Source organism: Homo sapiens, chromosome 13, assembly GCF_000001405.40.
Source record: "Homo sapiens chromosome 13, GRCh38.p14 Primary Assembly".
NCBI lineage: Eukaryota > Metazoa > Chordata > Mammalia > Primates > Hominidae > Homo > Homo sapiens.
The window spans coordinates 92,656,019-92,681,242 of NC_000013.11; the positions used below are offsets into that span (position 1 = coordinate 92,656,019).

The following is a 25,224-nucleotide window of genomic DNA, read 5'->3' on the forward strand; positions in this document are numbered from 1 at the left end:
GTAATATACAATGAAATATACAATGAAAAGGGAAACATGAGGCTACAGAAAAAAAAAGAGTTATATCATGTTCAGCTATACACTGAAGGCATTTTCAAGTCATTGAGGAGTTTGAAATTGGGAAGCAACAGGATAAAATTTGTTGTTTAGAAAACAGCACAGGGCAGAGTGGAAGGTAGTTTAGGCAGATACAAGCCTGGAATGACTGGGAGATCAGCTAGGCCATTATAGTTGACATTGTGAGAAAAAGGTGAGGTGGCTTCAAATAGAGAATTAGCAATGAAAAGACACAGTGAAAAAAATGGATGAATTAAAAGGATGTTTAAGTGGTTAATCAGCAAAGTTTAGGGATTTAATTGGGGTAGAGATGTGAAGGAGAGAAAGGGAGGAGGGAAAGGCGGATTCCAGTTAGTGGAAGTTAGTGGCATCATGGTGCAGTTTTCTCCAGGCAGGACACCCAAGATGAAGGGCAGGGCCCAGGTACACAATAGAGAGGCAGGAACCAATGGGCTACATTCAAGGAAACAGATTTTCTGTTATTTACATTCAAGTTATTTATATACCCACCCACTCACAAACATGCTTTTCTATTCTTTCAAATGAATTAGCCTACTTCTATTTATGAACTGCATTTGGTTGTTTTGGCTCATTATTTACCTAAACTAAGTTCAGTCAACTTTCAATAATAGCAAAAACAGGCCAAAGTGGGAGGATCACTTGAGGCCAGGAGTTCGAGACCAACCTGGGCAATATAGTGAACCCCATTTCTACAAAAGCAAACAAAACGTATCCATGCATGGTGGCATGCATCCATAATCCCAGCTACTCTTACGAGTCTGAGGACAGAGGATGGCTTGAGCCCAAGTGTTCAACGCTGCAGTGAGCAACGCTGCGATGAGCTATGCTCTCACACCGCACTCCAGCCTGGGTGACAGAGACCCTGTCTTAAAAAGAAAAAAGGCAAAAGTTTTTTTGATATTACACAGCTAGATATTTTCAAAACACAATTAAAAAAGAAATGAAATAATTTTAGGTAATTGTAAAAGACACAATTTTAAGTAAATTTTAAAAATTAACATGAATAGTCTTTGCTCTCATTAGATGGTGAATATTTAACTGAGCTTTGCAGGTGATGGTGGAGACACAGGTTAATAATAAACATGATAACCTGAAGCAGTAACTCAATTTATTATTTTAAGATATATTAAAGTTAAGTATGATAAATATATTTAAATAAAAAGAAAAAGTCATATTTATTTCATGGAAATACTAAGTAAATAAATAGTACATACATTGTTCCAGAAATAAAACTGCAACCCTTTAATGATCTGACCAAAGGCCTCAGCCTGGCTCTCAGTTCTAAAGTCTTTTCATGCTAAGTGTTTGCTCTAACACTGGATCCCTGTGTGTTTTACTCCAAGTCTAGATCCCAGGGTGCAAGAATAAGACAAATTGGCATGTAATCAAGAGGGAAAATACCAACAACTATGATTAAATTAGAGACACAACTGGCACGGAAGAGTGTTAGTCAGAACTACTAGTTTTCTAGAAGGTTTTTTGGTTTTTTTTTTTTTTTTTTTTTTTTTGAAATTCCAAAGTTGAAGTATGGACAGGTGTATCCTGTGAAGGTGTGAGGCAATTTTAAAGGCCACCCTTTCAGTAGCATCAACATTAGTAACCTCAATGTAACCACATTCTTTGCACAATGAATACTTCAAATTTTCCAAGATAAGTCTGCAGAAAACAGGAAATGGATTCTTCACTCTGCAATTTTTTACTTCTAAGGTTACATTCTTTTAACTCTTCAGACTGTTACTACAGTCTATATCACATACTGAGTGTTTCCTAGAAAACTAATAAAGTTGAGATCATCTGAATTGCTTTTCTATTTTTCTATTTTTTTGCAACTGGTATGAATCATACTTCTCTAAGCAAATATGTTCCTTAATGTATTACTTTTCTTGTTTTGAAAACTCTAAAACTACCTATTATCATTTATAATATCACAGAACTTTACTCTGTGTTTATTATACACTTACCCCAATTCTGTCATTTTTATTCTACATACATCCTTCATCAGATTGTCACTGTCTTTCTTCTCTGTGTAGGCATTAGTCACTAGACTGGAGAATTCTTGGGGTGAAAAATATCCCAATATTCATAATTATATGGGCTAGCTTCCACCATCATACATGAGATATGTATTTTATCTGTTGTTGAAATTGACAGAGCCTCATAAAACCACATAATTACTCATTGGTTTGGCATTCTATATGGCAATATTTATCAATCATTATGAAGCGCAAGACACAATACAAGGTGTATACTCAATCTTATACAGAGCATTTGGGGACATCTATGTTGCAAAATTTAGAGTTCTATGTATTCATTTGGATTTGAGAATGATAATGTGACATGTATACCCTTTTAAAGCCACACCTGTTCCAGCACTGGACAGCACCACGTTTTGCCTCCCGTGTTTCCTCATCAGATTTTGCCACCGAATGAGTTCAGGTTGTGTCAAGTTTTGTTGTGTAATACAATATTTAAAAATCTTCTAGCGTTAAGAGCTGCTATTTTGGTTTTGTTGTTGTTGTTTCTGTTGTTTCAGAATTTTAAACTGTGGAACACATTGTCAGACAGACAGTGATGCAAAGAAGGAAGAGATAGGCATTTCAGGAAAATGACATAAAGCATAAGGAAATAGAGATGAGGAAAAAAAGAAGAAATATTTCAGAAAAGTCATGTAATCCAGAGGGCTGGGAGTGTAGATCTTGGGAAGGGGTCAAGTGCAATACAGCTGGAGCAAGGCATCAAGGTTGAATTATAGGAGATGTATGTTTTGCTCTTATTTTTTTCTGGCTTTACTGAGATATAATTGACAAAGAAAAGTTGTATATGTTTTGTTTTTTTTTTTTTTTTTTTTTTGAGACGGAGTCTCGCTCTGTCGCCCAGGCTGGAGTGCAGTGGCGGGATCTCGGCTCACTGCAAGCTCCGCCTCCCGGGTTCACGCCATTCTCCTGCCTCAGCCTCCCAAGTAGCTGGGACTACAGGCGCCCGCCACTACGCCCGGCTAATTTTTTGTATTTTTAGTAGAGACGGGGTTTCACCGTTTTAGCCGGGATGGTCTCGATCTCCTGACCTCGTGATCCGCCCGCCTCGGCCTCCCAAAGTGCTGGGATTACAGGCGTGAGCCACCGCGCCCGGCCTTATGTTTTCTTTAGAGAAATGTCATTCCAGTCCTTTACCCATTTTTAATTTGGTCTTTCTTTTGCTATTGAATTGTAGTTTCATATACAATTTGGAAATTAACCCCTTAACAGACATCGGGTTTGCAAATATTTTCTTTCACTCCCTGGGTTGCCTTTTCATTTGGTTGACTTTTTTTTTTTTTTTTTTGCCTCTTCCAGAGCAATTAAATACACTATTAGCTATGCTAGCCCTTATTTATTCGTGACTCCCTATCTCTAGAAAGAAAACTCTGAGGAACAACTGGTCCATATATCCTGCTGCTTACTAGATGTGTGTGTTATATAGACACTTTAAATTCAATTTGTGTAACCATATTCATCCATTAATTTAACAAGCCATTATAGTCAATGTATAAGACATTGGAGGGTCAATGGTGAAAGTTGTACCAATTTCATTTTTGGTGCAATTACTTCAATAATGTCAGACATTACAATGTTACAAACTGAAGCATACTCTGATGGAAGGAATGAATGTCCTTCTCAGAGGGTATGTAAGAAGGTAGCTTTTCCACATCTGGTAGGGCTGATGTTCCCTGAGGAAGTGATAGCTGATCTGGGATATGAGAGTGAAAAGAAAAGGAAGGAAGTCTATCAGAATGGGAACGAGCATGTGCAAAACCCCTGTGGCAAGGCAGAGTGGGAGGCATCAGAGAAAGAGAAAGAAACCCGTGTGGAAAGAAAGCCAAGGAGCCACTGCTTGTATATGAAACCATCACTGTTAGCCCTCTAGAATCCTTCTGTCTGCTCTTCCAGTCACAGCCCCCTTTGTTCCATTGAAGGAATACTAACTACACTTTTCAAATATTTATGGCAGTAATTCCTTATTACATTTAGTTACCACTCTTAAGAATTTCCTTTGAAGTTTATATGAATGGAACCATAAAGCATATAGTCTTGGTGTATGATTTTACCTATAGTACATTTTGTTTTTTCAATTTGTTTATGTTCTTGAGTCACGTATTTCATTCATTTTGGATGCTTGATAGGATTCTTTGTATGAATATACAATTCATGTACCTAATGCTTTGATGATGAACATTATATTTCTGTGTTTCTAGTGATCACAAATTATATATGATTAATATGATTAAACAGCCAGACACACATAGGCACATCATTTCTCTAGAATAAACAGCAAGAGGTGTATGTATATATGTGTATATATAAACATATACACACATACATGTATATATATAAATATATACACACATACATGTATATATACATATATATGCACATATGTGAACACAAATTCATGCATAATACTAATATAAAATTATGTACTATTCTCTTTTCACATATTTTTTTTTGTCTCTCTTTTCATCATTATTGATGGTTTCTTCTTCCCTCTCTTCCACGTAATGATCTCTCTGCATCTTATCCATTGAATTATTAATTTAGGCTATTTTGCATATTGCATTTAGTTCTAGAATTTCTATTACTTTCTTTTCTGAAAAATCTGCCTAACAGATCTCTTAGTCTACATAAACATAATCTAACACAATTTTCTATTATGATGGAAATATTCCCTAAATCAGTATTTCCCAATACAGTATTAACCAGCCACATATAGCTATTCAGCTCTGGAAACATGGCTAATGGAACTAAAGAATTGAATTTTTATTTTTTTAATTTATTTATAATTATTTTAAAGTTAACATTTCTAACAACTTTTATATTAGATAGAAGTTCTCCTATGATTTTATTTTCACCATCCACTTAAAAGAAACAAAAAACCTAACTCACACAGGGCAGGGATGGTGGCTCATGCCTGTAATCACAGCACTTTGGGAGGCCAAGGCAGGAGGGTTGCTTGACTCAGGAGTTTGAGACCATCCTGGGCAACAAAGTGAAACCCCATCTTTAATAATAATAATTAGCTGGGTGTGGTGGTGTGCGCATACACTCCCAGCTACTAGGGAGGCTGAGGTTGGAGGATCACTTGAGTCCAAGAGGTAATGTCTGCAGTTAGCCATATCATGCCAATGCACTCTAACCTGGGCAACAGAATGAGACCCTCTCTCAAAAAAAAACATAAAAACTGACATGCTCAGTTGGAGAAATTTGAAAAAAAAAAATAGACAATTATAATCAATTAAGACTCAATTGTCAACACTCAGTGTATAAATTATACACACTAAATGAGATTGTGTACATACCTATCCATATCTACACACATATACATTATATAAACAAAATACATTTTAGTAATGTTGGCTTATATATTTTATGGCCTATTTTTTCAAACAATATTTTATAAAAGAATTTTATGGCATTAAATAGTGTCTAAAATCATAGACTATAATGATTATGTAAGATTTGCCCTTTGGTTCTGTAATAATTTAAATATTCTCCTATTGCTCAACATTTAGAATACTATTTTGATACTGTTGCTAACATGATTATCTCTGGCTGATTTCTTAGGATTGTTGAGATTAAAGTAGGATTGCTGGAATATAATATCCAAATATTAAAACATTTTTGGTATTTATTGTCAAGTTGTTTTTCATGGAAGTTATGCCAGCTTAAATCGTCATTAGAGTAAGATAAGAATACAGTGTGAATTTAAGTCCTGTTTCTCCTCTACCTCTTCCTATCTCTTCTTTCTCTGTATCACCAAATGACATTTGTCATAGTCCTGTTCTTCTTCAATATCTTTGTTCAATAACCTCTGTTTTAAAGGTTCCCTCTCCCCATTCCATATTCAGCTCTCCTGTCTTAAATGCTAAATCTTACATCCATATTTCCAATCTGTCATGTCTTCCAAGATCAAGTCCCACTTTTCCAATATGTCTGCTATACATATATTTGCTTGTCCCTACTGACTCCCATTACATCTAGAGCTGAACTTTTAACACTAGCTCTGCCCCCAGCCCATCGTAATAACTCAACTCCCAATGTGTTTAGATTGTCCTTTTCTGTAAGCAATCCCATTGTCACTTGAGCACAAAACCCCCACTCTTTCTCTCTTTCCCTTTATCTCACAAATGCCGACATTCATCAAGAATGATTAAATTTTCAATTGCAATATGAATCCAAGGCAAGTCTTACCTTGCATACTGCTACTTCCATGCTAGAACAGGCTTTCGTCACCACGGCAGTTTTCTTTTAAATACTGTTCCTGCATTTAGACTTTCCTTCCATTAATCTATTCTACTCAATGCTTCTAAACTAATCTACTCAATTTATCAAGTTGAGGGGTACCACTGTCTTCATCAAAAGTCTTCAGTGTCCCCCTGTTGTCTTTTAAGCAACCCCAAGTTGCATAATTTGTCACTTATCCATTTGTCCCGCCAGCCAGCCACTCAAAATTTATTGAGTGCCTACATGATTTTTTCCTTTGGATAACTGCCACTCAGCTACTGGAGCTACTTGGCCCTTGCTTAAAAAGGTCGTGAAGTGCCTGGGAGTTTATTTCCCCTTGAGGTTTCCACTAACCAGTGACCGAAAGATACTCACCAAAGTCCCAGATCCATAGTCTGGATTATAGTAGCTCTAAAGTTTAGTTTACACTCCAAAGTTTCCCTGTGGAATCAGGCTAAAGCTGTTCTCCTTGGGCTTTGCATGGCAATCACACTCTTGCCTGACTTCCTTCTCTTCCTTGCCCTGCTCCACTAATTGCCTTATTTATCTACCCTGGAGCCCTTCCTTAATAAATTATTTTCACGTGAATTTTTCTCTTAGGTTCTGCTTCTGGAAAATCCAAAGAAAACCACTTTTGTTAAGAACCAAACACATGATCACTACTGTGAATGAACTCACGCTAAGTAGAAAAATAGACATGCAAGCCAACAATTTAAATTTTAATATGCTATAACAGTGGGATTTGCAAAGTCCTGTGAGATGAGGAAAGAATAAACACCTACCTCAGGTGAGGGAAGTCAGACTGGAAAGTCTTCACCTAAAGTAATGTCTGATCTGAAATTCGGAGAATAATTTTTTTTTAGGCAGAAATAAAAACTAGTTATAACAAATAGTGTGGGAAAAATTTAATGGTATAAGAACATGAAATTTTTCAGGAACTACACATAATGCAATTTATTATTATCAGAGACAATATTTGATACAAGGGAGGGGGATGGAATTGGTTCTGATAGGTGAGTAACATGGCAGAAATGTGAATTCAAGATATTCTCTGAGTGTCGTAAAAAGAGCTTATCTAGTTTATCTGTCAAAGATGGCAAACAGGTGGGGCGCGGTGGCTCACGCCTCTAATCTCAGCACTTTGGGAGGCTTAGACGGGCAGAACATGAGGTCAGGAGTTCGAGACCAGCCTGTCCAATATGGTGAAACCCTGTTTCTACTAAATATATATATATATATATCTACTATATATATATATATCTACTATATATATACTATATATACACACTATATATATACTATATATATATACTATATATATACACTATATATATCTACTATATATATTATATATCTACTATATATATCTACTAAATATATCTACTATATATATCTCTACTAAATATATATATACACTATATATACACACACTATATATACACACACTATATATATACACACTATATATATATACACACACTATATATATATACACACACACACTATATATATATATATATATATATATATATATATATATATATATATATACACACACACACACAAAAATTAGCTCGGCATGGTGCTGCACGCCTGTAGTCCCAGCTACTTGGGAGGCTGAGGCAGAAGAATCACTTGAACCCGGGAGGCAGAGGTTGCAGTGAGCCGAGATTGCGCCACTGCACTCCAGCCTGGGCGACAGAGTGAGGCTCTGTCTAAAACAAAAAAAGATGGCAAACAATATGGAGAACCTGATGCCTTCAATTATAGAGTTGTAGCTGTTGCTCTGGCAACATTGTGGAGGACTGCATGTGAAAGTTGTATGTAAGGCTAGTCTGGAGAATGAATCATCAGAAATCAAATACCATGGTGAGCACAAGGGGCTGAGAAGAGAGATAATGTGAGATATTAGAAAAGAAATTGGTGGTAGTTGGTGATTGATTGGGTCTGTGGTAATATTCTAGGCTTTGGATCACCCTGCCAGTCACCAAATCCAATAGATTTTTTTTTTTTTTTTTTACTTAATCAAGATAGCAGCATTTTACTTCCTTCTTCAGCTTCCTGTTGGATTGTTTTGCTAACTTTTGTACATTTTCCAAATTATCCATGTTGACAATACATTATTCTTTTATTTGAAAGTGGAGTAGGGTAAAAATGAAATCATAGCGTATAGACAACTTACTAAAAATTATTGAGTTAATCAGAAAAAGCCTGTTGATAATCAATATGCATGTGAAAAAATGTCCAACCTCAATGATAACTTTTTTAAAAAAGTCAATTGAAACAGTAAGAATATCAGATTAACAAAAAATTTAGCTGTAAAACATTCAATTTGGGCAAAGATAGAGCAAAGAATCATGCTAATGCACTACCTGTGAGACTATAATAGGTCCAAATTTTTGAAGAGCGATTACAAATATCTGGCAGATTAAAATGCTCACTTCCTTTCATCCAGCAATGGCACCACTAATAATTTACACTAAGAATCAATCTAGATGACTAGATATAAAAATACTTATTACAGTATTATTTATAACAGCAAAAAAGTCCATTAATACAAACTCATGAGTTACATTATAAAATGACCATTCCATGGAATATTATGCAGATGTTATAAAGGATATGTTAATACAAATGTGATCAATAAATATTGTGTTACAAAAAAAACAGTAGAAATCGAGTTTGTAGAGTATAATTTCATCACCATATGATGAAAATATAGATACACGGAAAATTTCTGAAAGGATGCACCCAAAACTGCTAACATTATTTGCCACTGGGGCTTGAAAATGATAATTTGCTCTTCTCATTTATTTTTTTCCCCAGGAACAACAGTAATTTGGCCATAAAATTAATGAAAAGAAAGAGGCATTAACAAGATAATGGAGGGACAGTGTTTAGTTTTTATGCTTGTGGAAGGAGGAGATAAGAAAACTTTATATAATTCTGTTGAAATAAAAATAAAATCCTTATGGTCAAAACTCTAAGAAAGGAAAGGTGCTTACAGATAGGAAAATAGAGGCTAATCCCACATCCCGGAAGTGTCAAACCAAGGACTAGAATTCAGATCTCTTGACCCTTGGCCCCAGTGCTCTTTCTTTGATCCTAAGCAATAGCATATCTATGCCTAGAAAATCAAGCCAACTGAGGTGGAAAAGACCTCGGCCATTATTTCTGCTTTCTCTGAATATACAGGATTGATTTTGAGTTCATAAATAAATAAGAAATGTTGAAGGGTTGTCCGTGGGACACTAAAGTTTCACTGTATTCTGAACCGGAATATCTTAATTCAATACCATTGCTCTAAAAGGATGCTTTCTCAAGCACTGAAAATTATGGTTCCATTTATGTCCCTAATTTAAGGGAAGAGACATTTTGAATTGGAGGCAAATAAACTATGTTGTAACACTTCAAAGCTTAGTCAGGAGGCTTATACCAAATGCCTTATGTGTACTTGTGGTTTTTGTATTCTGACCCTGAATGTATTTCACACATAAGGTGATATGTCTCCAATAATTTTCCTCCTACGTATGGTATAAATGAAATATTAGCACATATTATCTGGCACCCCACCAACTGATTAGTTTGTTGTTATAAAGTGCAAATGCCCTGTGATATAAAATTCCAAGCATTACTCTACTGAAAATGAGAAGGCATCACTAGCATGTGAGTGAAAAGAATATTATGTGCTTCCCTTTTCTATATGTTAGAATTGCTTTATATTGAAAAAATAAGTTACATAAAATACCAACCCAAAGCTTGTAAATTACTTTATCCATCTACTTCTAGGAAATTACAAAGAACAAATTTCATTATTTTAGCATAACAGGGATGGATTTTCTTTTGTGATATTGAATATATTAACAATGGATTTTTTTCCCTAGTGTTGTTTAGGATACTTCCTGCAATGCCTCATTCAAATTGTCAGTGATTTTTACTGTGTATTGTAAATGATACATAGCCACTGTATATAAACATTTGCTGAATTCAAGATTGCTAAGTTAAGAAACTGGAGTAAATAAAATGGAAACAGGAAATCAGTGAATATTTAAGGATATAATCTGGCAATTGCATGTTTCTGCTGGCTTTTCATAATATAACAAACCATGTTTTTTGTTCTAATTAAAAAAATGCTATCAATAATAAAAATGCTAATTATACATAATCAATATGTTTATACATAGATCAATTCTGACAAATGTTCTAATTTCAGTTTAGTAAATTGATGTGTAAATATACTTTGTAAGACAGGCAATTTTATAAGAAGATTAGTAGACTAGTGAATTAAAATTTCCATTTCCTATGCTGCAGAGCACTTTTAATGCAATTTGAAGGGAGAACATTAGTGCTCAGCATTTATAATTTATCATTTGACATTTGGACTAAAAACTCTAAGTGTATAGAAGAATTACATATATTTCTTAAATTTCCAGTACTGCACATGCTACCATAATGCAGACTTTTACAAGGAGATTAGTGTAATTCAATGGTTTATCACAAATATTTCCAAGAGGAGCTATATTGTGGACCTTATATTCCCCTCATAGTTGCTTCAGGAAGGGATCTCATTTGTCACTCCTTCTCGGCATTTGGTTCTATTCCATTCTTAACTGAAAATAGGGAAAAATGCCACCCTATACTGAAGCATTTCAACAGAATTGGAAACATTATGCATAATTTTCAATAGATGAGGGTATACATTTCAAACTATTCACAAAAAAAGATATTTTTGGCCAAAATTTGGTTGAGATTTGTTGAAAGGAAGTACCTCTCTGATCTACTGTTTTTTAGAACTGTCTGGGTTTCGAGGTCTTAAACAGAGGCATGCATGTGCACGCATGTGTGTCTGTGTGTGTACGGAAATGTACTATGTCCATAAAAATGCCACTGTTGGTGTTTCCAAAATGAAGCTACTAAAAAGAGAGGATTGGTGTCATCTAGAGAGGGAGACGAATTGGAGGACTGATAATGCAGAGAGTGCTTGGAAAATAAAACAATGGAAAAGAGGCCACAGTTTGGACCAGAAACAATTATCTGATCACCAAAAAAGAGAGGAGAGAGAAAAAGACACAGCAAAATACGGTCAGAGAGACAAGAAGAGAACAACCAAACAGTATATTTGGCACTGTAAGGAGTAAAAGATTGAGAGATTTTTTCCCCTTTCTATTCATGGGTTATGAAATTGAGGTTTTCTGTGTAATTAAGAAAGGATGGATCTTAGTGAAGGGCATATTGTCATCTATGAGAGAGCTGCGAGAAGTGTAGGGAAGATTGGAGAAGATGGCTGACATTGCTGCTTTGGGGTACTTGCTCTAAAACTTCTGCCATTCAGCCGTGCAGATGAGGTGAACAGGTATTTGCGGACACGCTTGACTCTTGATCACATGTATTAATAAGACATATTACATTTTTTAAAAATTATATCATAATTCATGTGTTGAGCAGGATATAGCTCAACAATGACTATTCAGCAACTTTACCTAAAAGCCAGTTCATAAGTTATTCTATAATTGTTGTTAACCTGGTGGGCATATTTTCTAGGGATTTCAAGTGAGCAAAAATTGTCAAAAACTAAAATCCGTCAGGAGTAATGTCTGCTTTGCCTATGAATCCTAGACACACTAAAGAGGTATTTAACATTTTAGTTAGAGCTATAAATGCTTTAAAATTTAAAAATATCTTTTCTTTAAACTTTGGTTTCATTTTCTTAGGCATTTGTTCAAATATACATATGTGTGAATGTATGTGATTTTTAGACCATAAAATACTTTGAAATTGTTAAATAAATGTTTGCTAATAATATATTTCATTATGGAAAAATTTTAGGATTCCTTTTGCTCTCAGTATTGACTATTGTCATTGTAGAAGTTCTGATAATATGATATTTATATAAGGACTCTGAGTTCAAATGCATCATCCTAAGGCAGTGAAAACATATTTTCCTCTTCCCATTTTATATTTATGCATAACAGAAATGGGAAGACTAAAAGATTTCATTATCACAATTTTGGAGGGCAGAGAAAGTACCAACAATCTGCATTTCCAGGCTAAGTTTAAGCTATTTAGAAGCCAAACCTTCTCACTATTCAGTTGGAATATCACATTCAGCAAGAGAATGTTTCAGTTTTTTTCATAGCTATGTTTAACTTTAAATAAGAGATTACATAATTAATGCTAAAATTGCCTGTGACTTATATTCCTTAAGGTTTTCTATTCTTTCTTAGCTTAAGTCATGATTTTTATTTTCATTGTTGTCATTGTTATTTTTCTTTTCATAGAAAAGTACTACTTAGCTCTATAATCTTTTATTTGACATTAAGGGAAAAATACTTTTGACACAGCAAAAATATGCTTGAATAAGTCTGTGGTCTTCTGTAACGGTTTAACCTTATATAGTTGTATTTTTTACATTTTAAATAATAATGATTACATAAACTTTATCCAAAAATTGTTATAATTATTGAGATTAATTTTGAATCAATTACAAAGTTTTTAAATAAATGTTATTTGCAGTGTTTATAAGTCAGAAAACAAATGAAAAGATTAATGGTTATATATCAATAATTGCTTATAGTGTAAATGAAACCATTTGTTAATTTCTAGAAATTTATTGCATATTTGATTCTACTTTCCAGGCAATATTCCCATGTAAGTTTGTCTTCATTTTAATAAAATTGTCCCCAGAAAAATAATACTACTATAATTTGAATATACAAAAAATTCAAATAATGACTCCATATATGCTCAGTAAGTTTAATGTTCTAACTTTAATCACACCAAAGACTTCTTATATTAATATAATTTTGTATATATGCAGGGGTTTCATTTCTGTATGTAATCAAGAACTCCGCTAAGCTGTTTATCCTCTCCATGTTCCTCCAGAACATTCTGCCTTAAAGATCTAATTTATGGTTACTTCCTACTCCATTTTTTTATTTCACCATGACTATGCATCTCATTTACATTTTATTTCCTGGTCTTTCCTCCTCTCTCTACTCAAAAACTACCCAGAGAGCATGACAGCAGCCTTGTCTTGACTTACACACCTTACACACACATACACTTACTTTCACAAATATGTGACAAGGAGAACAGTGATGCTACATTTATATTATTCTTGACAGATGAAACTGAGCACCTGTTTGCTGTATATCGTCGGCTTGGCCAATGTCAGGTGGATGCTGCCCAGATGTCCTTTGTTCATCTAGAAACATGGAGCCATGATGGCTACCTCACTTTCCTCACACCCTAAACCGAATTGTCCCCAGGTCCCAATCAGCAGTTGAATCCATTTCCTTTCCTTCATTTTCCTTTCTGCTACCCAGGCATTTGTCCTCTTGGAAAGCAAGACAAAGTCTTCCTGCCTCATGCTTAATCTGCTCCAGTGGCATTAGCCTACACTCATTCCTCAGAGAGAACAGATCCTTCCTAACTCAGAATTGCACACAAGGCACCTACTCAGGAGTCCTCTCCATTCTACTCCACCCCATGTCCCTTCATAGTCAATAGCCATAGGCTTTAGTCTAGAGTGACACCTCTGGGACAATGTACCGGAATCCCTAGACAAGGATCTTTGTTATTTGCCGTCACACAATCTATGTTTTTCTACATTTATACCAATAATTTTTGTTTAAATAATTTTTAATATTTTAGTCCCTCTCCTCTTAACATATAAACTCCTAAAAATCAATGGGTTGCTCACTACGGATTTCCAGCGCCTAGCACAGTCCTTAGCATATGGCTGGAACTCACTGAATTTCAGCTTTATAAAGAAATGAATTAATGGCTGTTGTACGCATGTGTGAGGAGCCATGTGGAATGTAAATGGCAGCATACCAATGTGTAAAGTTGTCAGAATCAAGGAAATGGAGCTAAATTGGGAGCCAGAAAGCTAATCCATATGGATGCCAAGGAGACGAGGCTTGAGACACAGAGCAGTGATCAATGTGAGGCATCCAAAGGCTAGGGAAGTCCCACAGAAACACAGGAGATGATTCAAAGAACCCTTGGTTGTCCTGAAACATTGCTTTTATTCATGGGCTAGAGGACTTTCTTGGCAGAGGGCTGAAGACAAGTGCATGCAAAAGTAGTTTCTCTAAATGTCTCACCAGCTTGTGTTTTGAATGTATAATTCCAGAACTATATATCAGCCATCTCTCAGTGCTGTTCAGTTCTTTTCATCCTGCTAAATCTTTTCCATATCTCTATTTAGATGATTTCTCATTCTTTCCATCTGAGACTGAACTAATGGCACAAAGTTGGTGTTTCCATGTGGGGATGTTACTAAGAAGAGTAGATAGGGTCTAGTTAGCAAAAACAGACCATAGAATTTTTTTAAAGTCTGCCCAGCATTTAAGAAGATATCAGCCTGTTCTCCAAGTGTCCAGTCCTATCTCTTGTGTCTACAAGCCTTTAGCCTTTTTCTTTTTCTAAGGATAAGCTCTCACTTTTCAAATTCTGTGTGACATTCTTAAGGCCACATACATAAACACATTTTCATCTATTCCACCTTGCAGTCCTGGAGCAGTAACATGACTACTTTTTGTGGCAAAAAGGCTGCTCCTTGGTCTGATCTGCATTTTCCAGGGAACTTGCTTGGCAGCCTACGATCCATCAAATTTTCCCCTTAGTAAATCTCAGAAAAAGATCACCCGTAAGCATAATAGTACAGGGGTAGTCTGAAGTTTGACTAATATTTTAGAGTGCTGTAGATCCTAAGATGAAAGCAGTAAGAAAGTTGAAAAAATAATATTATTTATTCAACAGACATGCTAGAAATCTCAGAGCTTCCCTAGTCACTATTTTCTGTCCTGTGCATGTGACATAAAACTCTGCAAAATCAGAACTGAGTTCTCTGTAAAAAAAACATTCCGAAATAAACAAGACCAGCCTTGAAGGGAAGGCCTTGTAATCCATGGTTTATTCTCCTTTTCTTGTTATGGCCAATGGCAGCACCTAGATTAGAGTAGGTGCTCAGCCATGGATTCACTGAAATAATGCTTTAAAAGTATACATAATTCACAGAAATCCTCTGCGCTTTCAATTACAATGAAACCATCTATCCATTACTCCAAAATGTGTGAATATTAATCATTCTATTTTTCTAGCTTTTCTGCATTTGTGATCCCTTTGTACTATTTTTTCTGTTAGGAAACAGTCAAGAAAACTGAAACCATGGTAGTAGGTATTTTAAAGAGGGAATAGGTTACCACATGTTAGAAGGCTCTAGAAGTTCTTGAGCAGCAGTAATTATGGACATAAGTTTACCTTAAATGGGCAGAATTCAGATAGATAACAACAACGAAAAGAGACTGTGGTTATTCACAGTGGGCTAATTTGTGTGGGAAAAATAAGTAGGTATAAATCTGTATATTCCAGTATCTGTGAGACAACAAAAATGGGAAATTATTTTTCTGAGTTAGTTGGGTAAAGTTTAAAAGGGTTGTGCTTTGTCCTGTAGACGATTGAGAGTGGTTTCCATATTTAAAAAGGATAAATAAACTGTTCTGTGTGCAGGGTGGATTAGAAATGGAAGACATTGGAAGCAGAGAGAAGTTAAGGGAGAACGTTGACATTATCTTAAAGTGTTAAGAACCTGAACAAAACTCATTGCAAAATCATTGCCAGGGAATATAGTGCAGGGCCATTGACTGACTCTAGTAGTGAATGAGGACAACTCACAGAGAGAAATCTGACAATCCATGTTTAGCAGAGGGAAGGAAGCCAGGAATAGTTATTAATAAGTTCCAGACTTCAGTTTTGTTGGGTATTTTTTTTACTCCCAGCGAGCTAAATTTGACAACAATGTAGCTCAATTTCTCCCAACCTCATTTTGTTAATCTCTACAATCTTGCCCCAGAAAAGCCATTTGTACCCCAGCTCAGAAAATTATGTATTAATTTGTCTTCACAAGATTGCAAAATTTTCAAAACTGTCTGTTCATGATAATTAGAGAAATACAAATCAAGACCACAGTAAGATACCATCTTATACCAGCCAGAATGGCTGTTATTAAAAAGTCAAAAAATAACAGATGATGGCAAAGTTGTGAAGAAAAAGGAATGCTTATACACTGTTGGTGGGAGTGTAAATTAGTTCAGCCATTTTGGAAGACAATGTGGCAATTCCTCAAAAACCTAGAGACAGAAATAGCATTTGACCCAGCAATCCCATACTGGGTATATACTCAAAGGAATATAAATCATTATATTATAAAGACATATGCATGCATATGCTCACTGCAGCACTATTCACAATAGCAAAGACATAGAACCAACCAAAATGGAAATCAGTGACACACTGGATCAAGAAAATGTGGTACATATACACCATGGAATACTATGCAGCTATAAAAAGGAACAGAGACCATGTCTTTTGCAGGGACATGGATGGAGCTGGAGGCCATTATCCTTAGCAAACTAACATAGGAAGAGAAAACCAAACACCGCATGTTCTCATTTATAAGTGGGAGCTAAAGGATGAGAACACATGGACACATAGAGGGGAATAACACACACTGGAGACTTTCAGAGAGTAGAGGCAGGGAGAAGGGAGATCATGAGGAAAAATAACTAATGGGTGATAGGCTTGATATCTGGATGATGAAATAATCTGTACCACAAACCCCCATGACACAAGTTTACCTGTGTAACACACCTGCACTTGTACCCCCGAACCTAAAATAAAAGTTTAAAAAGAAAGCAAAAAAACTCAACTTTAAAGTAGCTCAATAAGTTTTATATTGATATCAACTTTAAATAATTTTTTATGCATGACATAATATGTTATTAAAATTCATTTACCTTTTTAAAAAAAGAATGCAAGATTTTAGCAGAGTTTTCAACAACAATGTTATATTTAACAAGAGATAAATATCTCTGATGCTTTACAAACTGGTGTTTCAGTGAATTACTCTTTTTTTTCTTTTTCTTTTTCTTTTTTTTTTTGAGATGGAATCTCGCTCTGTCGCCCAGGCTGGAGTGCAGTGGCATGATCTCGGCTCATTGCAACCTCCACCTCCCAGGTTCAAGTGATTCTCCTGCCTCAGCCTTCCAGTACCTTCCAGTACCAGAAGGCACGCACCATGATGCCTGGCTAATTTTGCATTTTTAGTAGAGATGGGGTTTCACCATGTTGGCCAGGCTGGTCTCTAACTCATGACCACCTCCCCAACTGCTGGGATTACAGGCATGAGCCACCACACCCAGCCAAAATGAATTAGTCTTAATTGTGTTCTATTCGTTTGTTTTTCCTGCATTTTCATTTCATTTCATTTCACTTTGATGAACCAACAGAAATACCTGATGGAATACAGTGACAGCTTGAAAATCTATCATTCCACAGTAGATAAAATAATATGTGAAAGTAATGAGAATTTATTAATTCTTCTAAAATCAAAATTTAAAGACATACCACTGACCCTTTGTTAAAATAGCTTACAGAACAGAAATCTTAGAAAATGGGTATTAGAGTTTCAGAAAGCTAGTCATGTTAAAAAACACTTTTCAAATCAAGGCTAGCTACCTCATAAATAATGGAATGAAGGAACTACTTATAAAACCAAGGTTCCATTTTCAATTGTAAAAAAATGTTGATATTAAAATAGAGTAAAATAAACATTAATTTAAAATATTTTTTCTGCTCACTTCCAGAAGGTGGAACATAAACCACTTAAGGGACCTATTTCAGCCCCACTAAAGCAAATGGCAAATATTGAAACTGGATTACCAAATCTATGCCTTCCATTTGATTGGCCGTGTAACTTTTTGTTTTGTGCATGGATAATGGCTTTTCTCCTTCAGTAACCCAAAGGAAAAGCTGACATTCTAACCTGGAGCTGCACATTCAAGCTTTGACACGTTCCTCTCACTGGGTTCATCTAATGCTTGTAACAAGCCTATACAGTCAGCAACTTTAGAAAGATGGGTTGAAGAAGTGTCTTTATCATACTTTGAATTTTTCCCTGGGGCACTTGGCAGAGTCATCTCTGGTGTTTCAAGTGTGCTTAAAAGTTATCTGGCTGCCCTCTTAGAAGTTTGCATAAAAACTGCTTTACTTAAAAGCAGACAAAATTAAGGTTTCTGTAACAAAATCATAGGAATAGCATCGAGATAGGACAAAGACCAAATATCCTGTTTCCATGTGGCAGGGAAATAATGAAATCAAAAATCCATGAATTCTTGCTTCATGAAGCAGGAGCTTCATGAAGCTCTTCTTGAAGCAGGAGCTTCATGAAGCTCTTCTTGAAGCAAGAGCTCATGGAGTGGCATATCATCATACCATTATTAATAGAGGACATTGCTAATTTCTAGAAGGGCTTCATGTCCTGATTATTTTATCTTCTTCTTTCTGTTGAATTTTTAACATCTATGTCTACTGCAAAGTACACAAAGGAAATAAATTAGAACTTAGAAAAGGGCTTTTTCACAACCTCAAATTATAGATATATTTCTTTCAGAACCTCACTTTAGAGAGAAAATAGCAAAAATTCAGCATCATCACTTTTGTGACACTTCACTAACCAATCAAAATATAGAAAAAAAGAGAAATTAAGTACATTTGTATTCACTGTACATTTTTAGCTATTTGTTTAGAAGAAAAACAATTAGCTTATTTAAAAACCCTAAGGTGAGTATGCAGTTTTTATTGTTATCTTTGCTGTTTTGAGTTATATTTTTATTTTTGTATGTATAAAACCAGTAAATAAACCTATGTCAAATACTTCTTTACTTTTGATACTAGTACAAAATATTGATGACTTTTTTAGATAGGAATATCTGATATATATCTTTCAGAAATTATCAGAGAGTTATAAAATAATATTTGGGAGGTAAGGAACACACTAGACATAAGAAACCTGTATAGGCAAATACTTTGTCACCAAAGTTGTATATTTAAAAGTTAAATCCTATTCTTTAATTTGTCTCTTACCAATTCAAAATTAATTCATTAGAAAGCAATTTTCCTCAACACTTAATCCCTAGTTGTTCATTTCTTTCACTAGCTAGTATACCATTGCTCATTGCTTCATAGCTAAACTCTGTTTAAATCTGTTAACTGAAATGATTTTTAAAACTTTTTGTCCATTTTTCACCTATTCCGTTTGACATTGGTCTTGTATGATATCATGATACAAAGGAAAATGACCCTACAATGATATGATTCATAATTCCACCACAAATTTCCTTGATGCTTGGAAAGTGTGATTAATGTATTTTGTCCCCCTCCTTTTTTTTTTAACTATAAAGCAAGTACGTGTACAACAATGCCATTTTTTCAACTCCAAATAAATAGAAACAGCTATAGGACTAAAGTTTCTTATATGAATCTTATAGTTTACTTAGCACGTGCTTTAATAAAGTTTCCTCTCCAGGAAACTAGAAAATTGTAAATGGTGTAAGTCTTGATGTTTTGTCAAAAACATATGTAATATTCATATAGCAGAGCTTTGGTCTTATGCCATGAACAAGCAGGAGGTGCTTCTGGAACTGTCCTATTGATTTTCACACATTATTTATTAGAAATGACTGCTGCCATTCCCACATAGTGCTAAGTGTGAACACTTACTGTATGTATGTGGTCTCAATATTATTTTGTTGTTCACAAAACCACGTATATCCTCCCATCGAAATATTGTCCTCATCTTAAAAGTAAATGGCACTATTTTATTCAATGGTTTATATTTTGGAATCCTAACCAGATATTTTTTGCCATGAATTTCAAGCACTGCATTACTTCCAACGACATGCTATGGCTATAAGGAAATTATATCAAACATGAGTAAATTTTGTTGACCAAGACTATAGATGTAGCAATACCATTATATAACAGACATTGATGGTTGGTGAAAATTACCCCCAAATGTCCAATGCCATGAGTATAATTTGAATAGCTCTTAGTTTAGTTTCTATTAATATTATATGAAGGTCATTTGTAAGCCTGCAGACATAATTCATAGAATATACTACTCAGATATTTGGGAATGTACTACTTAAGTATTTGGATATATTTAATTCCAAATATATCTCTACTGTGATTTTTTTAGGAGATACAATTGCCATCACAGTAAGATATTGCTGATTCAGATGAAATTTTTAATTAACTAGAAAAGTCAAAGAATGCAATTCTTTTTCAAGATTTCTTCAAATAAAGAAACACGCAAAATTAGGCTGTGGTTCTGTGAATAACAATAAGAAGTATGGAGTCAGGCAAACCTCAGGTTCAGTCACAGTTCGACTCGACTGTTAAGTAGATAATAATGCTAAGGGTGTGTTTTTGTTCTCTTAGGTTTGTGGAGACAGGTAGCATTCCACAGACCGACATTGAGCCTACCCCACGACTATTCAACCTGCCCATTATTGGGTAGCTTTCATATAATCAGTTAGAAAGAAAACATCTATGAAAACTATTTACTAAAGAATTATATCTTTTAATTAAGAGTACCGAACATGGTCAAGTTAGAGAACAATTGAGTAGAAACCTTCTATTCAAATATAATTGAGACCAGTTGTTTGATACTTAATCTAAAAAGTGAGTTAAGGAGGAGGATCATGGGGTTAAAAATACACACACACACACAAATGTAAATTAATTGGCCAATATTTTGATATAAGTCCAGGACCCTTTGATTATCACTCTATTAACTGGAGTTTCTATACATTGTCTTCTTTGTATAAATTATGATCATAACAAGTCAATTATAATTCTAAATTTTTATTTGTTTAAAGTAGAACAAAAACTTAAAGTAATTGAAGTACGAAAACCTTTAACTTATTAAAATTTTGTTATTCTGATTATTCTAATTTTACAATTTTTTCTTAAAAATTTTACAGTTGCTTAGCCCTCATATTAATCAACTTAGCTTTTTCTAATCTTTTCAAGACCCAACATATTTTTACATAAATAGCACCACTCTTTTATAATCACATCACTAATTTTATTTATGTCACAAAAGACTAACTTGAATACAACCTAAACAAACTGGCTGGTGGATAAATTAACATAATGCCAAGTTGAGGCAGCAGACTAGGCATAATAGAAAACACACTGTTATTTTACAGGGAGAATGTACAGTGTCAGTTCATTCAACAAGTTAGTTAAACACAACTCAACTAAAACAATGTCAATGAAAAGTAACAAATTCTGTGTTTGTTCCATGGACTTACAGCCAGTGAGTCCTGAGAAAGAAGAGATAATTTAAAGAGCTTCATTGGCAGGTGAATCTGGACTTGGCCTTTTAGCTTAGAGACTGAAGCTCCATATTAAAAGCAGGAGAAGGATAGAGAGGCATCCCACATGAAGAAAGAAATCAGAACAGACGTGCAGAGGCAAAAGTAGTCATGGTCTGCGTCCTGGCTCAGGAGGACAGTATGTGTTGAAGAGCAAAGCCTGGAATGGGCTGATGCCTGAAACCTGACGCCACCCCACCCATGTGCTTTATCTACTCACACTGTTTGCCCAGGAAATCTGGCACTCCACAATGAGAACAGGAACTGGGTGTCCCAGCTAATCTTCACTAATCTTCAGCTCGGTGGGTCCCATAGGGTTGTCATATTTGAAAAAAATAACAATAGGCTTTGATTAAAATACTTGGAGATGAAGCAGAATGCTCCTGCCAAAGCTTCCCTCAATTAACATAAGAGGAACAAGTTTATTTCCCAAGTTAATTATAGTATAATTTACCAGGTATCCAAATAAATGTGTTTAGAGGATAAGAGTTTTCCCCTCGAAAAATTCTTGACCGTAATTTTACATATAATTCTTTTATTCAACAAATGTTCAATGTATGTTTGTTTTATATCCAACACTTTTTAAGGAATTAGGAATACCATGGTGAATAACATAGACAACTTCTGCTAAATGCTTAGATGATGAAAGGCAAACAAATATATAAGAAAGAAAATAATTAAGAAATACAGTTTTATGCCTAATTATGTCAGGTGGTGGTAAGTGCTGTGTCCCCAAAACACTTACTGATTTTCTCAAACTATTATAAAACAGAGAAGGCGCATAAAGAGTTCTGGACATGGGACTGAAGATTCTGTTTTAAATATGGTTGCCAGGTACGTCCTTACTGTATAAGAACATTCTCCATCAAGGACTTGAAGGAGATGAGGGAAGTCATCAAGTGGATGTAAAAAATAACACTGCTAGTAATAGGACCAGCAAATGCAAAGACCAGAGGAGAAAGACATCTGCTTTGTTTAAGGGACAGCAAATAGGTCTCCCTGCTACAGCAGAGTGAATACCGTGGAAATGGTAGAAGAGTTTTTAGTTGTAAGGCAAGAAGAGGGACCAACCATAGAGAGTCTTAGATGTCATCGTGGAGATTTCTATGGAGGTGAAATGGAAGCTACAGAAGGCAATAGAGGCTGATATGGTTCACAGCTTTAATAGTCTGCTGTCTGCTGAGATAAGAATTGACTATAGGACAAAGAGTAGATCCAGGTAGTGAGATGTTATTGCAATCACCTAGGAAAAAGATAGGATGATTTGAGCTAGAGTTGTAGTGGAGAGAAGTGGTCATATTTTGAAAATATTTTTAAAGTAGAGTTGAGAGGATTTGGTGTTGAATTTGACATGGGATGTGAGTCAAATTTCAGAGCCTGAGCCAAACGTCCCTATTTAATTATGATTAATATAATGGAAAAGGTGGGGGGAAATGGATTAAGAAAAGAAAGAAGTTTGATGTGGGAAACAGGTGAAGAAACCAGTAGAGATGTTAGATATCTAAATCTGAGTTCGGGAGATTTGAATGCATAGAAAATTTGATCATTAGCATGGGGCTGGTATTTGAAGCCATGAGACTGGACAGGGTCATTTTAGTTTAGTGTATTTCCACATATTATATTTCAAGCATCATGCTAGATACTTTAACGTTTGGCCATTTTAAAAGCCCCTTGGTAAATTTCACAGGAATGAGGATTTGACTAACCTGTTGTTCTCAGATGTCTGACCTCAGTAGGATGCTTTATTTTATTGTATTTAATTCCCTATAAAATTCCAAAATATCAAAATAAGACCTATGCTTATTAGCAGGATTTTTCATGTACAATATTCCTACTCAGATAGGACTATATCACTTAATTTCACAGAAGTATCCTTCCCTGAGGTGATGATACTATTATATCACAATCATGAAGTCATGCTGACTTGTAGGCAACAATGGAGCTCACATTTTGATCTAAACTAATTTGCATGAATTACTTAAATTATGAAAATACACACTTTCAGAGAGCAGACAGATTTTACTCTGAGTTGTGTCAAACTATCACTTAATAGTTCTCAAGGGCTCAAGTGTGGTGAAACCAGATGCTAGTGTATGTGTTTCCTGTTCCCTTCCAATTTTTTTCATCATGGTTCATCAGCAAATGCTATGAAGTCTAATTAATATAACTAATGGATCTCTTGGCCATTGGACCATATATTTACATGAATTGCTCTGTGAAAGAGCTCTCTCTCATGCACTCTCTCTCGCTCGCGTGCGTGCTCTCTCTCTCACTCCTGCGCTCTCTCTTTTCCTCTCTCCACCCCCCCACCCTCCCCACCCCCTTCTCTTTCAAGAGCGGAACACTTTAGTGACCTCCATTTAACTGGCTGAACTAAGCAGCGATCTCTAAGGTAATAATGCACTGCTAAGAAACCTCAGCATAGACTATAATGCTACCACTAAAGCTTCTGTTCATGTTGTTCTAGGGCTCATAGAATGGAATATTGTAACCTAGCTCTGAGGAAGTTTGAGATTGTCTCATATTTTCTCGGTTAAACTAGAAAATAATTAATTATAGGGAAGGGACAAGAATTGCCCTGGCAGAGCCAGCCTGAGAAATAATTTCTGTTCATTCTCAATGTATTATCTGCTTTGTCCCTAGAGGCCCTCTTTTGTTACTCTTATATCAAAATCCTTTGGCCACTTAATTTTCCTGCCATGTCAACTCAAAAATCATACCTACAAAAGAGATTCAACTCTTTTCAACAAAAAGAGCTTCAACAGCTTCAACTCTTTTCAACAAAAGTTTTCAACTTTTTTCTTTTGCAAAAATATGTGCCAGCTATGAGATTGTAAGCTTTATAGTTATACATAGATGTTTTTATTTATAATCTTTCTCCTGCAAAACAGGATTAGAGAAAGTGAAGCAAAAAGAACATGTAATAAGATGAATAATGAATAGAAAAATAAATTGCTCTAAAGACAAAGGAAACTATAAAAGGTAGATGACTAGAACTGTTTAGCAAGAAGAGACCTCATTCTTTCCATCAAATAGTGTGGTGTAATTAGCACAATGCACCTAATGGTTAATGAATACATATTTGTTGAGGATATCATTAATAAACAACATGACCAATGAAAAACTAGTGAAAAAGATTTTTACTCTTCAGGAAGTAACTATTAGATAGGTATTGTACATTCCATCTTTAAAAGGTAGAGGAAAATATATATTGATCTGACCCATAAACGCAACGGGAAGACACAGAGTAACAATTATTGCCGGTGAATTTCAGCTCTCAGTCTATCTACCAACCTGTGTCACCAGGAACCTTCTTCAGACCCGTGCATCCAACTGCTTATTTATCTTTTGCACCTGGATATCCCTCAGGTACCTCCATTTAATTCATCTTCTTCCTCCAAACTGGTCAGCATCCAACCAGATCCAGAGAACTGTGAAGAGCTATTCTAGTCTCCACCCTTTCCCCTGTTGCTGATCCAGTTAAGAGGTCCAAAGAATGTAGTTGAGAGGACACCATCTCTGTATCTAGTAGCATTTAGTTTTAACCTCATCCCTTAACTTAAAATCGACATGGCCTTCAGTAAGCGATTTACCTCCTCTGAATATCAATTGATAAAATAAAAAAAATTCCAAAATTAATTGTATTGAGGATTAAAATATCA

At 35.1% G+C, this 25,224-nt stretch overlaps 1 protein-coding gene and 1 long non-coding RNA gene across 4 annotated transcripts in view; one reads left to right on the forward strand and one right to left on the reverse strand.

The window, feature by feature from the left end:
• Positions 1-21,682, reverse strand: part of LOC105370315 (uncharacterized) — a 67,055-nt gene extending 45,373 nt beyond the window's left edge. For both annotated transcript variants that reach the window (XR_931643.4, XR_931644.3), the window contains exons 1-2: positions 21,500-21,682; positions 7,118-7,169 (exon numbers count right to left, since the gene is read on the reverse strand). This is a non-coding gene — a long non-coding RNA (uncharacterized LOC105370315). The remainder of the gene's footprint in view (positions 1-7,117; positions 7,170-21,499) is intronic.
• The window catches only part of GPC5 (glypican 5), a 1,468,617-nt gene that overhangs the window by 1,257,398 nt on the left and 185,995 nt on the right, over positions 1-25,224 (forward strand). The window lies entirely within an intron of this gene.